At 40.1% G+C, this 13,148-nt stretch overlaps 1 protein-coding gene and 1 long non-coding RNA gene across 6 annotated transcripts in view; one reads left to right on the forward strand and one right to left on the reverse strand.

Moving 5' to 3' along the window:
* The window catches only part of CHST9 (carbohydrate sulfotransferase 9), a 278,828-nt gene that overhangs the window by 51,579 nt on the left and 214,101 nt on the right, over nucleotides 1-13,148 (reverse strand). The window lies entirely within an intron of this gene.
* LOC124904275 (uncharacterized) overlaps nucleotides 12,224-13,148 on the forward strand; it is a 29,076-nt gene continuing 28,151 nt past the window's right edge. The window contains exon 1 of the long non-coding RNA XR_007066323.1: nucleotides 12,224-12,299. This is a non-coding gene — a long non-coding RNA (uncharacterized LOC124904275). The remainder of the gene's footprint in view (nucleotides 12,300-13,148) is intronic.

Raw genomic sequence — 13,148 nt, forward strand, 5'->3', positions numbered from 1 at the left:
ATTTTTAGTAGACATGGGGTTTCTCCATGTCAGTCAGGCTGGTCTTGAACTCCCGACCTCAGGTGATCCACCTACCTTGGCCTCCCAAAGTGCTGGGATTACAGGCGTGAGCCACTGCGCCTGATTCTCAGACATTTCTAGTCTTGACTTTGCCAGGCTATATGATATTTGGCAAATTACTTCACTTCCCTGGCTTTTGTTTTGTCTTTATTGCATAACAGGGATATAAATACTAAATTTGCTTATAGTTGTTTACGTTCTTTGACTCTTAAAAGAATGAGGAGTAATGAAAATTCCCATAGGATTGGCACAGATAAAAAAGAAAGGAAGCCTAGGAAACACGATTCTAGACATCAGCTCTGGGAAGGAATTAATGACTAAGCCCTCAAAAGTAACTGCAAAAAAAAAAAACAAAAAGAAAAATTGACAAGTGGGACCTAGTTAAACTAAAGAGCTTCAAGAAACCATCAACAAAGTAAGCAGATGACCTACAGAACAGGAGAAAATATTTGCAAACTGTGCATTCAAAAGGGTTAATATCCAGAATCTATAAGGAACTTAAACAATTGAACAAGCAAAAACAAACAACCTCATTAAAAAATGGACAAAAGATGTGAACAGACACTTCTCAAAGGAAGCTGTCAGCAAACACAAGAAAAAATGCTCAACGTTACTAATTATCAGAGAAATGCATATCAAAACCACAATGAGATAGCATCTCATGCCAGTTAGAATGGCTATTACTAAAAGTCGAAACAGCACATGCTGGCGAGGCCATGGAGGAAAGGGAATGCTTATACACTGTTGGTGGGAATGTAAATTAGTTCAGCCACTGTGGAAAGCAGTTTGAAGATTTCTCAAAAAACTTAAAATGGAAGTTCCATTCAACCCAGCAATCCCATTACAGGGTATATATACAAAAGAAAGAAATTGTTCTACCAAAAAGACATATGCACTCATATGTTCATTGCAGCACTATTCACAATAGCAAGACATGAAATCAACCTAGGTGCCCATCAATAGTGGATTGGATAAAGAAAATGTGGTACATATACACCATGGACTACTATGCAGCCATGAAAAAATGAAACCATGTCCTTTGTAGGAACACAGATGCAGCTAGAGGCCATTATCCTAAGCAAATTAATATCCAGGAACATAAACCAAATTCTACATGTTCTCACTTATAAGTGGGAGCTAAACATTGGGTACACATGAACATAAAGATGGAAACAATCGACACTGAAGACCACTAGAGGGAGGAGTGATGGAGGTGGGGAAGGGTTGAAAAACTAACTATTGGGTACTGTGCTCAGTATCTGGGTGATGGGATCAATGGTATCCCAAACTTCAGCATCACACAAGATACCCAGGTAACAAACCTGCACATGTATCCCCTGAATCTAAAATAAAAGTTGAAATCATATTAAAAACAGAAAGAAAGGATTCATGTTTGGTGTGGGAACCTGGGAAGACTTCATGGAAGAGACAGCGTTTGATCTGGATAGGACATTAACAGAAGCAGATTAGGGGAACAGTATTTTACCTGGAAGGAAAAGCATGAGCAAAAGCACATCAGGGAATGTCTAAGGAACAGTAAATGGTTGCACTGAACTTAAAGGTGGTCTGTATATTGGCAAAGTAATAAGAGACAAAGCAAAAATTGTATGATGGGCCAGTATCACGGAGGACTCTAGATACTTAAAGAAATATTTTTTGACATAATATTTGTTGAGGGAGTCCTTGAATAATTTTGAGTCAAAGATTGATCCAAATGGTACCCTAGGAAGATTAACCTTGAGGATGGGGGATCCTGGCAAAGAGATGGAAAAGTGTAGATGAATGTAGGGCACATTGTATGAGTAAAATGGATTTGAAGATTCAGATGAGGGGTTAGGATGGGGAAAAAAGGAATAAAAGAGGAGCAAGATTTTAAGCTTGGTTACTTGGGAGAAGATGCTATTAATGCAAAGGTAAAAATAAGGAAATAGGTCCAATTTAAAGAAGTAAGTTTGGTGAGCAACAGAGGAGGTGGGATGATAAGCTCGGTTTAGCATTTATTTGGTTTAAAATACCAGTAAAACATCCCACAGGAGGCAGAAATAGATATCAGGAAAATACCAGGCAGTCTTCTGCAGAGAGATGATGGGGAGAAGAGAGCGTAGAAGACTCTCGAGTTGAAGGGAAATAAATATCAAGATTTGAACTTTGGAAAATGGTTGTATTTTATTTATATTTGAATAATTTGATGTTTCAAATTATTCAACTTAGATAGTGGAATGCAAATTTTACATCATCCATAGTGAATAAGAAGAGACTCCTTCTCTAAGCTACCACAAGGATTTATTCTCAGGAACTAGCAAATTTGAAGTTTGGTGTAAGAGCTTAAGTTCTCACTGGTTGTGGAGTTAAAAGACAATTGCAAGTTTTAGCAGAAGAAAATTAGGCTGATTTCCTTATTTATTAAGCTGAGGCTAAGGAATGTTTAGAATTTATCGGAGAACAACAGAATTGTTTATGCCTAGCATTCCATTATTGGAACGCTAAGCATATGGGAGTTATTTATATCCTACTGCTCAAGGTCATTGCCAAGGTCTGATTGCAAAAATTCAAAAAATTGCAACCTCCAGCATAAATGGGTTAAGGGCAGAGCCCAGGCAGGAGTTAGTGGTGCGATCAGGGCTCACTCTAAACTCTGACTCCTGGGCTTCAGCAATTCTGCCATATCCTTTCGAGTAGCTGGGATTACAGGCATGAACCACTATGCCAGGACTTCTTTCTTCTAATGGAGTATTCTCTTCCTTCTAGTAATAATAATTTTTGCCCATCATATGTTTTATGAATATTTGTCCTAATTTGTCACTCACCTTTACTTGTGTACAATGTTTAGGGAATAAAAGAATATTATAGCAATGGCTAGTATTCAGTAAGCGCTTACAACATACCAGCAACATCGATACATTCTTCACTCAGTTCTCCCAGCACTTCTGTGGGATAAGGCTATTGCAGATGATGAAGAATGAGGCATACAGATACTAACGTGCCTGGAATTGCAGCTGGGAGGTGATGAACTCAAGCCTCACTTCTGAGCCTACATCATTTCCTTTCTGGTTTCTGCTTTCAGTGTCCAGCTTGGAAAGGCACAACTCCGTGCAGCAATTAAAAATAATAAGGTCATATCTGTATGTAAGGCTAGAGAACAATACCTCCATTGTATTTTTAGAACAATGTGTATAACTAATATGTTTTTTAAAGTACATATGATTATATGTAAAGAAGTCAGAGGAGATATACTTTAGCACTTTGTTACACGTTAAGGCCGGGTGGGAAAGGAGTAAGAGTTACTTTTAATTTAAGCACATCTGTTTCCTTTTTTTTTTTTGCCCTTGTGACAGCAACTGGCTCCATTGCCCAGGCTGGAGTGCAATGGTGCAATCATAGCTCACTGCAGCCTCGAACTCTTGGGCTCAGACAATCCCTCCAATTCAGCCTCCAAGTAGCTGGGACTAGAGGCATGCGTCACTGCACCCAGTTAATTTTTTTAATGTGTAGAGATGAAGGTCTTGCTTTATTGTTCAGGCTGTTCCCAAACTCCTGGGCTCAATCGATCCTCTTGCCTTGGCCTCCCAAAGTGTTGGAATTGCAGGTGAAAGCCACTGGGCCTGACCTGCTTTTGCTTTTCAAAACTTTTTTATTAGGAAAAGGTACTGCATCAATTTAAAGAGAACAATGTTTCTGTTTTGGATAAGAAACATGGGTGAGGCTTTGAATATGCTTTTCTTTTTTGCACATTAGGACAGGCGTTCCTTCATTCATCCACTTGTTCAACCATTCATACCTGGTTTGAAAGTCTAGTTTGTGTTGGTCTTGGGCTGGCTACTGGAAATACAAAGGCGAAAGGGTATAATCAGTCCCTCCTCTCAGTCTGGCAGGGAGACACACAGGACAGATTCGGAGTGAGAGTTGCCATAGGAATAAGGCAAAGTCCAGTCTCCATTCAGATGAAGAGGGCCAAAGTTGGCCTGGGGGTGTCAGGAAAAACTGCCAAAAGGCTCCAGCTTTTAAACTGAGACACAGCTTACAGAATTTTCCCTTTCTAGTTCCCATAACTGTTCACACCCACTGACTCTTCCAGCCTGGGGTGTTAATGACTCTCCTGTTACTAACCTGGGGTTACTATACTATCTTCCGTGGTCTGCTGCTCCCTCTACTCCTATCCCAAATTATAGTCTCCTTTTTTTTTTTTTTTGAGACCAAGTCTGGCTCTGTCGCCCAGGCTGGGGTGCAGTGGCGCGATCTCAGCACACTGCAACCTCTGCCTCCTGGGTTCAAGTGATTCTCCTGCCTCAGCCTCCTAAGTAACTAGGACTACAGGCATCTGCCACCATGCCCGGCTAGTTTTTGTATTTTTAGTAGAGATGGAGTTTTGTCCTGCTGGCCAGGCTGGTCTTGAACTCCTGCCCTAAAGTGATCCACCCACCTCAGCTTCCCAAGGTGCTGGGATTACAGGTGTGAGCCACTGCGCTCAGCATTGTAGTCTCTTTCTATATAATCTTTTTTTAACTTATCTCAATCTGAATGTGGCCTCTGTTTCCTTTGGGACATTTACTGATAGTTGGTGCCTTTCACCTGGGGACAGGTGCAGCTGCTGGGAGCTGGTAGAGTAAAGGCTGGTGGCATCACCATCGCCTGGGGTAGTTTGCTTATCACCTGGGTATTGAGATCCAAGGCCGCTTCAGGCAGTATCTCCGCAGGTGTCTGGTATAAATGGGGAGAAAACTGGCAGGTGGTAGGTGATAGATGGTAGATGGTGTGTTTATGAGTCAGGTGGAACAAACTCAAGACCTCTAGAAATCATTCGTGAGATGGGATGAAGCCAGAGAAACAGTTTTGTAAAAGTTTTTTTGTGTATTTGAAACTTTAAAGCTGACATTTTCTGAGGAACACCCATTACTTCGATGAGAAAATTGAGGGTTCAGTAAGTTATTAATTCACCCATTTAGTCATTCGTTCAGAAAATACTGAGGGCATATTATGTACCGGGCACTGTATTGGGCATAGAGTGAATGAAACAAACAAAAACACTCATGGGGTCATATGTGAACCCAAGTCAGTCTGCCTCTCAACATAGAGTTCTTTCCACTGTCTCAAACTGTCTTCTATTAAACATTTGATAAATCTCATTTTTCCAAAACTTGACATGAAGGACTCACTCCTCTGCCATTTCCTGGAACCATGGGCTGCTTTTGCACCTTTTCTTCTAGATGTGCACTTTCCGCTAAGCTTGGCAGGATCTCCAAACTCCTAAACTCTGTGTCCTGGTAAGTCATCACCAGGACTAAACAAACATTAATGTTGGTGCTTATTACTGAGCCGTTGGGTCTATTTTTAAGAACACAAAGAATGAAAAGATTAGCTGCCTACAAGCTCCCCCATCTGTTCAAATGGAAAAACTTCACAGAGCCCTAGGGTGCTGGGCAGCGCAGATTCCAGCTTCTGTTTTTAAGGAGTATTAAAAAAAAAAAAAAAAGGAAACAATTATTTCAGTGTCTCTACAAATGAAAACATCTATTTCAACTCAAAGAATATTTTGTAAAAGTAGAATGTAGTGAGTAAGATCACAAACTTGGGTGTCAGTGAGACTGGGTTCCAGGACTAATTCTTCATTTTAGTAGCCATGTGACTTCAGGCAATTCAATTTCCTTAGCATCCGTAAACCTTGATTTAGCCTTCTAAAATGGAGATTATCAGAGACAATCCCTACCTCTTGAGGTTTTCATGAGGACTAAACGATATCATGCACGTTTCATACTTAGAGTAGTGCAGGTCACATAGTAAGTGCTCAATAAATATAGTCACTACTGTTATATGCATTATCTCTTTCACTTAACACAACCTTAAGAAGGAAAGAAAAAGTGATTATGTAATCTAAATATTTGTAGCCAGGGAAGCAAATAGTTCTTCTTATAGTTTCATAAGAAGAGCATTTTTGATTAATTTAAAGGAAAACCACAGACATTTAAAATAAAAAATAGAAGCAGAACGCTGATGTGGCTAACACAAGTTGGACAACATTTATTAACGTTCTAATGCTTTATAAAAATTGGAGACCAAATAGAAATCCATATAATTTCCTTTATTTTATTGCTCATATCTAACTTAGCCACTAAGAAATTAGTGCAATACTTTATGGATGTTTTCAGAGGCAGCTCTTATAATTTTCAGTTGACGACCTTAACAAGGTATTGGTTACATGAAATGTATGTTCATTCTCAACCGCCCACCTGTTTTATTATTTCTCTCCAGAAACAAATATTTTTCTGGACTTCAAACAAATAGGACTTCAAATTCCTATTTCCCATTTAGTGCATGTTACTTATATCTGCTGCTTTATTTTTCTTGATGTATTTACAATAAGTGAGAAAATCAGATCTAGGCCCAGCTTACAGTTATGGAAGTTCTAGTGTTCTTCAGGGCAGAGCTTCTCAGGCAGCAGACTGTGGGCCGTAAACAGGTATGCCTCTGTATTTGCCCCCTGGCTTCTGGGTCTACCAGTCAGGGCCTGGGCCAGCCCAAATCTCTAAGCTCATTGCCTTCCCACCTCCAGCAGAGCAGTCTTGTCCACTGTGTGTGCTACACAAATACCACCTTCTTCCATGTGTGCTGTGATGTGGGAAAGGATGGAAAACACTTTCTTGGAGAAGGAGGAGCTTTGAGCTGTGCCCTTCCAGAACAAGACTAAAGGAAATGTGCAGGATTGACCCTGTGTTTCAGAGTACAGCAGAAGAAGAGAGCATGAAGCAAACAGGATGAGGAAGAGGTGACATGAGGGACAAATGCACAGGGAAAGGAGCGAAGATGGGAGGTCTTTCTGCCTAGTGGTCAGAAGGAAGGTCAGATGGCGATGGCAGGAGCCTTAGACTAGAAAATAAGAGGGTTTCCTCTGCTTTAATGTCCAGAATCGTGATTTATTTCTTTCCTTCATTATTTGTAGTTGTCCAAAGTGATGAAATTCTTGGGAAGCTATTATGAAAACTATTTACAACTGAATGCATTCCCAATTACAAGCATTGGACCAGCATTTTTTGGGTTTAGAATTTGAGCCGACTGTGAATGGATTATGAGACTCATGTGAGTGTCCCCTGGCTGGTGGGTCATGGCCCGAAGCTGCACTGTGCGGCCTGCAATGTGTTTCATAAAAATACTCAACTGAGGTAGCAAGTACTTGTGCTGGTGGCAGTGTTATTTCCACTTGCAGGAGCAGTGTAGCTCCATAGCAGTGCCATCAGTTTATAACTATGTGAAGATTTGTGTATGAGAACCTCAGTGAACTGACAACACATTACTGATTTACTCCAGTAATGTCCTGTGCTTTTTATAGATTAGAACCCCTGGGAAGCAGGCCATCTGGCTTGCCCTTTAGTTTGACCTGGCCTGTAGCATGGGTTTTGGAATTCACAGACCTAAGTTCAAGTCTGAGCGCTACCACCATTAGCTGAGCAACACTGGGCAACTTATTTAACATCTCTAAGCCACTGATTGCAAATCAGAGAGATGTGATAACAATAAAATTTACTGCATGGTATTGCTATGAAGACTAAATGAATAATGTGTGCCATGTATCTAGAAGAGCTTAACACATGTTCACTCTCCTCTTCACTCCTGCAGCAACAGCAAAAATCATCTGTCGAGTTAAGGGTAAGAAGATCTTATACTAGTAGCATCAGATGCTGAATAAACTCACAGAGATCAGAGCCTCATGGTCAACTGGTAGGCCTAGTGAGGGACTCAGGAAGAAAACATCTCATAGGAGGACAAGAAAGGGTGTCAAAGAAGTAGACATTGAGGAAACAAAAAAACCCTTTGGAACCCTGACTACCATCCAGTGAGACAAGATTGACAATTAAAACAGAATAGACATAATATGATCCATGCCTCAGTTCCTATGCCTAATGTTGCACAGTTTGGCAAAAAGTAAATAGTTTATTCATAATGCTGCTTTTAATTTTCCCAACTAATTGTTTTTATTTCTTTCTAAAGTGTCTGGCAATCCCAATTGATAGACTCAATTGATCATTTAGTGTAGAAAGGGTAAGTTAGGAAAATCCAATCTTGACAACTTTTAATGATTTTTCTGATGTATTAAAAAGGTGGGACACTATAAAACTATGCTTTATATGACAGCTCTTTTAAAAAATCAAGTACAAAGTATAATTGAAAATATTCTTTCATTTTTCTAAAGAAATCTCTTTTAAATTCTTAGAAAAGATCAGGCACAGCAAAAGCGAGTTAAAGCCTTAAAAATATGTTATTGGTGTCTTAGACCCCAAAGCAGAAATATACACTCATTTTAAGTTGCAAGAATAATAATCTAGATCTTTGGGGATTTTAAAAATTTCATCTCTTTGCCTTAAATGATTTTGAAACAAGGCATGAATATAAATAATACATATAGTACTTCTGGATTTAAACGTCTTTGATGAAATGATGATACTGGCTTGGAATCTCTCTCTCTTACTACACACACGTTCATGTGTGCACTTGTATGTGTACCTGTGACATAGCTGTTTAGAATGGTTGGACCTTCAGATGGATTGGCCACAGACCTTTCTGTCATGACACAGCCTTGCCAGTCATTCTTTCAGCTTCCTAGCTCCCCTGGCAGTGGTGGAGAAGATCCCAAGTTGTTATCAACTGAACAAGTGAAGGAAAGTTGGTTATTTTAAGGCACATGAATTATTTTAGGATTTCTGGTTGTCCCTGGCTAAGTTTTTGATGATTACTGGAGATAAGAAAACAATACTTAATTATTACTTTCTTTAAAAAAAAAAAAAAAAAAAGCTCTTGCAGAGTTTCAGAAGATTCTGGAAATTGACATGATTTCCTAATGTTCCAGTTGGTAGATATCTCGGGTTGGCCTGGGGACTTGTCATTTCAGTCTCAGGCAGACACTACAGATACGCTTTTTGGGGGATGGGTCAAAAGGAGAGTGTGACTGAAACACTGAGGGCTTTATTCTTCCTTTTGTGAATTCTAACACTAATCATATTCATCATGAAAGACGTTTCCAATACTGAGAGAGTGTAAGGCAAAAATCAAAAGGGTCACTTCACCCTTAGTCACACCCCCTATGTCTTTAAAAGCAAGAAGACAAATACAAAAATCCTTGTATATGCAATGAAAGCTTTCTGAATGCTATGTAGGAAGCTGCTTATATAAGGGACTGCTTATCTAACATTCTGAAAGTTTATGTTGCATTTACAGGGATATTTATATTTGTCTTTTTGCTTTTTACACGTGTAGTAGGGCCATGGTGTAGATGCTCTTCAGCTACTTGTTTTTTGCTTTTGTATATTACAATATACCTGTATATTGTAAACACCTTTTTGTTGGTCCCTATAGATCTACCTCATTGTTTTCAATAACTGCATTGTATTCTACTGAATAGAAGTCCTATAATTTTGTGGGCAGATAACTATTGTATGTGTTTAGAAATTTCTTATTACAAGCAATTTGTCAATGAAACTTCTTGTAATCTTTGTGTACTCATGCAAGTATATTCTATCGGTTAAATTCTTAGAAGTGGAATTATGTGGCCAAAAGGTGTGTGTGATGGTTAATATTGTGTCAACTTGATTGGATTGAAGGATGCAAAGTATTGTTGTTCCTGGGTGTGTCTGTGAGGTGTTGCCAAAGGAGATTAACATTTGAATCAGTGGACTGGGAAGGGTAGACCCACCCTCAATCTGGGTGGACACAATCTAATCAGCTGCCAGTGCGGCCAGAATAAAAGCAGGCAGAAGAAGGTGGAAAGACTAGACTGGCTAAGTTTTCTGGCCTCCATCTTTCTCCCATACTGGATGCTTCCTGCCCTCGAACATCAGACTCCAAGTTCTTCAGCTTTGGACTCTTGGACTTACATCAGTGATTTGCCAGGGGCTCTCAGGCCTTCGGCCGCAGACTGAAGGCTGCACTATTGGCTTCCCTGCTTTCGAGCTTTGGGGACTTTGGATCTGGCTTCCTGGCTCCTCACCTTGCAGACGGCCTATTGTGGGACTTCACCTTGTGGTCCTGTGACTCAATTCTTCTAATAAACTTTCCTTCGTATATGCATCTATCCCATTTGTTCTATCCCTCCAGAGAACCCTGACTAATACAGTATGGAAATTGAAATTTTTGGTTGTTATTGCTACATGACCAAAAAAGATATATTATATAAGTAATATATATTTACACTCCCACCAACAATTTATGAGAGTTTGTTATTTCACCCACATCCTCTAGGCTTTAGCATTGTCAGACTTTGAAACTGTTGGCATTGCTATCTCATGTTTTTAACCAACGTTTAAAAAAATCATGAGTGAGGTCGGTGCTTTTATGTTTACTAACCATTGGTGTTTATTTTTCTACAGCTTGTCCATTTTCCACACATCTACTTTTTATTTATAATAGTTTTGTTGCACTTTAAAGAAATTAGATACCTGTGTGCCAAATTCTAAATAAGTTTTAAGTCTGCTGTCTTTTGAAGTCATGAAAATTTGTTTGCATGTGTGTGGATGTCTTTAATATGTATATATTCATTAAATATTCTACAATGGTGCATGCATTTCATACCATTTTTAGAAAGGCTTTTCTCAATCCACAGCTGTTTTTTAAAAATGAGCTATTTTCTTCTATGACTTTTACAATTATTTTGATGATTTCTTACCTTATGGTTAAAAATTTGACACATTTGAAATTTATTTTGGTTTAATGTTTGAGGAAAGGATCCAGATATGTTTTTCTTCCAGGTGGCTGGTCAGTTTTGCTCAAAATGTTGATTGAAACATCTATCTTTCTTCTACTGATTACCACTTCACTTACACAAAATCCTCACATGGGTTCAAGTCTATCTACACTCACTCTGTTCCATTGACCATTCTCATTTGAATTTATGCAGTCTTTTTTTTTTTTTTTTGAGATGGAGTCTCGCTCTGTCACCCAGGCTGGAGTGCAGTGGTGCGATCTCGGCTCACTGCAAGCTCCGCCTCCCGGGTTCACGCCATTCTCCTGCCTCAGCCTCCCAAGTAGTTGGGACTACAGGCGCCCGCCACCGTGCCTGGCTAATTTATTTTTTGTACTTTTAGTGGAGACGGGGTTTCACCGTATTAGCCAGGTTGGTCTCGATCTCCTGACCTTGTGATCCACCCGCCTCAGCTTCCCAAAGTGCTAGGATTACAGGCGTGAGCCACCGCGCCTGGCCACGAATTTATGCAGTCTTATATTTTAATACTCTTTACTAGCTAGTCTTCCTTTTTTGATTCTCTCTCTCTCTCTCTGTGTGTGTGTGTGTGTGTGTGTGTGTGTTAAGCCCTAATAATAAAAGGATAGAAGTCTCTATACAGGTTGAAGGTGACCTTGGGTTGTGAGTATATATTTGGCAATTAAGCTCCCAGATAAAGATGAGTTTATTCCACAAAATAGTTCTTGAAAACCGACCGGGCTAGGCACTCTCCTGGGCTCTGCGCACACAGCAATGAATAAGGAAGAAAAGGTTCCTGTTCTTGCTGAGCTTACATTAGAGAGTTGGGGAGGAGCATACAAACAATTAGCAAATAAGCAAATGTATACGGTCTTATTGTGCCATGAAGTGAAATGAAGAAGATAAATTAGGGTGATGAGCTAGAGAGTGAGGGAGGAGGGAGGTATTTTAGATAAGTTATTTGGGGAAGATTTTCTGAGTGACATTTGAGCGTAGCCTTAAGTTAAGCTTCAGTTTATCGTATCTAATTTCTTTCTAAATAGTTTGATCTTGATACTTTAGTGTCTAAAATAGAATTTGTTATATTTCCCTTAAAATCTGTTCCCCTCTGATCTTCACCATTTTGGTCAGTGTTATCATTACATTTCTTGGTCATCCAGACCCTGAAATTTTGGGGCCATTTACTTCTTTGTTTCCTTTCCCACATGACCCATTGGTAGGTCCAGAGCACCTTCTCCAGGGCGTCTCCAGCATGTTTCTTCCTTGGCCATTACCATGGTTGGGTGCCTAAAATTGCCCACAGTGAGATTATCATGTCTGCCTCTAAACCAGTGTCTCTGCCTCCAGTGTCTCCCACTTTCAACCCAGACTCACCCTGCTGTGATGTTAAGCTTCTAAAATACAGATTTCTGATCAAAATCTTTGAGCTGCAAATGGAAAGTATTTTTGCTTATAGAATGACATTAGACTGCTTTATTTCAGATTCAAGATCTTGCAAAATCTGAGATCTGCTCAACTCTCAACTCTTCTTTCCAAATGAATGCTTCCTATCTGCCAGGTACAATTCTAAATGCTGTATGTATTGATTCATTTAAACTACACAACAGCCCTTTGAGGTACGTACTATTATTATTATTATTATTTTTGAGACAGGGTCTCACTCTGTCAGCCAGGCTAGAGTGCAGTGGCACAGTCTCGGCTCACTGCAACCTCTGACTCTGGGGCTAAAGCGATTCTCCCTCCTCAGCCTCCCAAGTAGCTGGGACTACAGTCACATGCCACCACACCTGGCTAATTTTGTATTTTTTGTAGAGATGGGGTTTCACCATGTTGCCCAGGCAGGACTTGAGCTTCTGGGCCCAGGTGATCCTCCTGTCTCGGCCTCCCAAAGTGCTGGGATTATAGGCGTGAGCCAATGCGCCTGGCTGAGGAAGGTATCATCATAATTGCCACCTCATAAATAAGGAAACTGAAGCATGGGGAAGTTAACTGACTCATCTAAAGTCGTGGAGCCAGCACATAGACATCCATCACTGCAATCAAAGAAATCTGGCCTCTACCCATGGTGATATATGTTACCTTCTAATGTTTCAAGATCTATTCCTGCTTGTGTGTGATTGAATGTTGTTCCTTCTGGCAGAAATCTTTTCTCAGCTCTATTTTTGCTTGTCTATGTCCTCAAGGCCCAGCTCAGGTAGCCTCCTATCCCCTTCTCTCACCAGCCTCATCCTCATTAGTGGCTTCCACCCCTGAACTCTCAGGACAGTTTTAGGATGTATCACCCACTACTACACAGTGGAGCAGATGATTCTGAGCACATCTTCTGTTTCTGCAACTAGATTGCAAACTACCTTAAGGTAGACACAGTGGCTTATTCCTCTGGGGCCCTAAGAAAGACCTAACTTGC

Source organism: Homo sapiens, chromosome 18, assembly GCF_000001405.40.
Source record: "Homo sapiens chromosome 18, GRCh38.p14 Primary Assembly".
Taxonomy (NCBI): domain Eukaryota; kingdom Metazoa; phylum Chordata; class Mammalia; order Primates; family Hominidae; genus Homo; species Homo sapiens.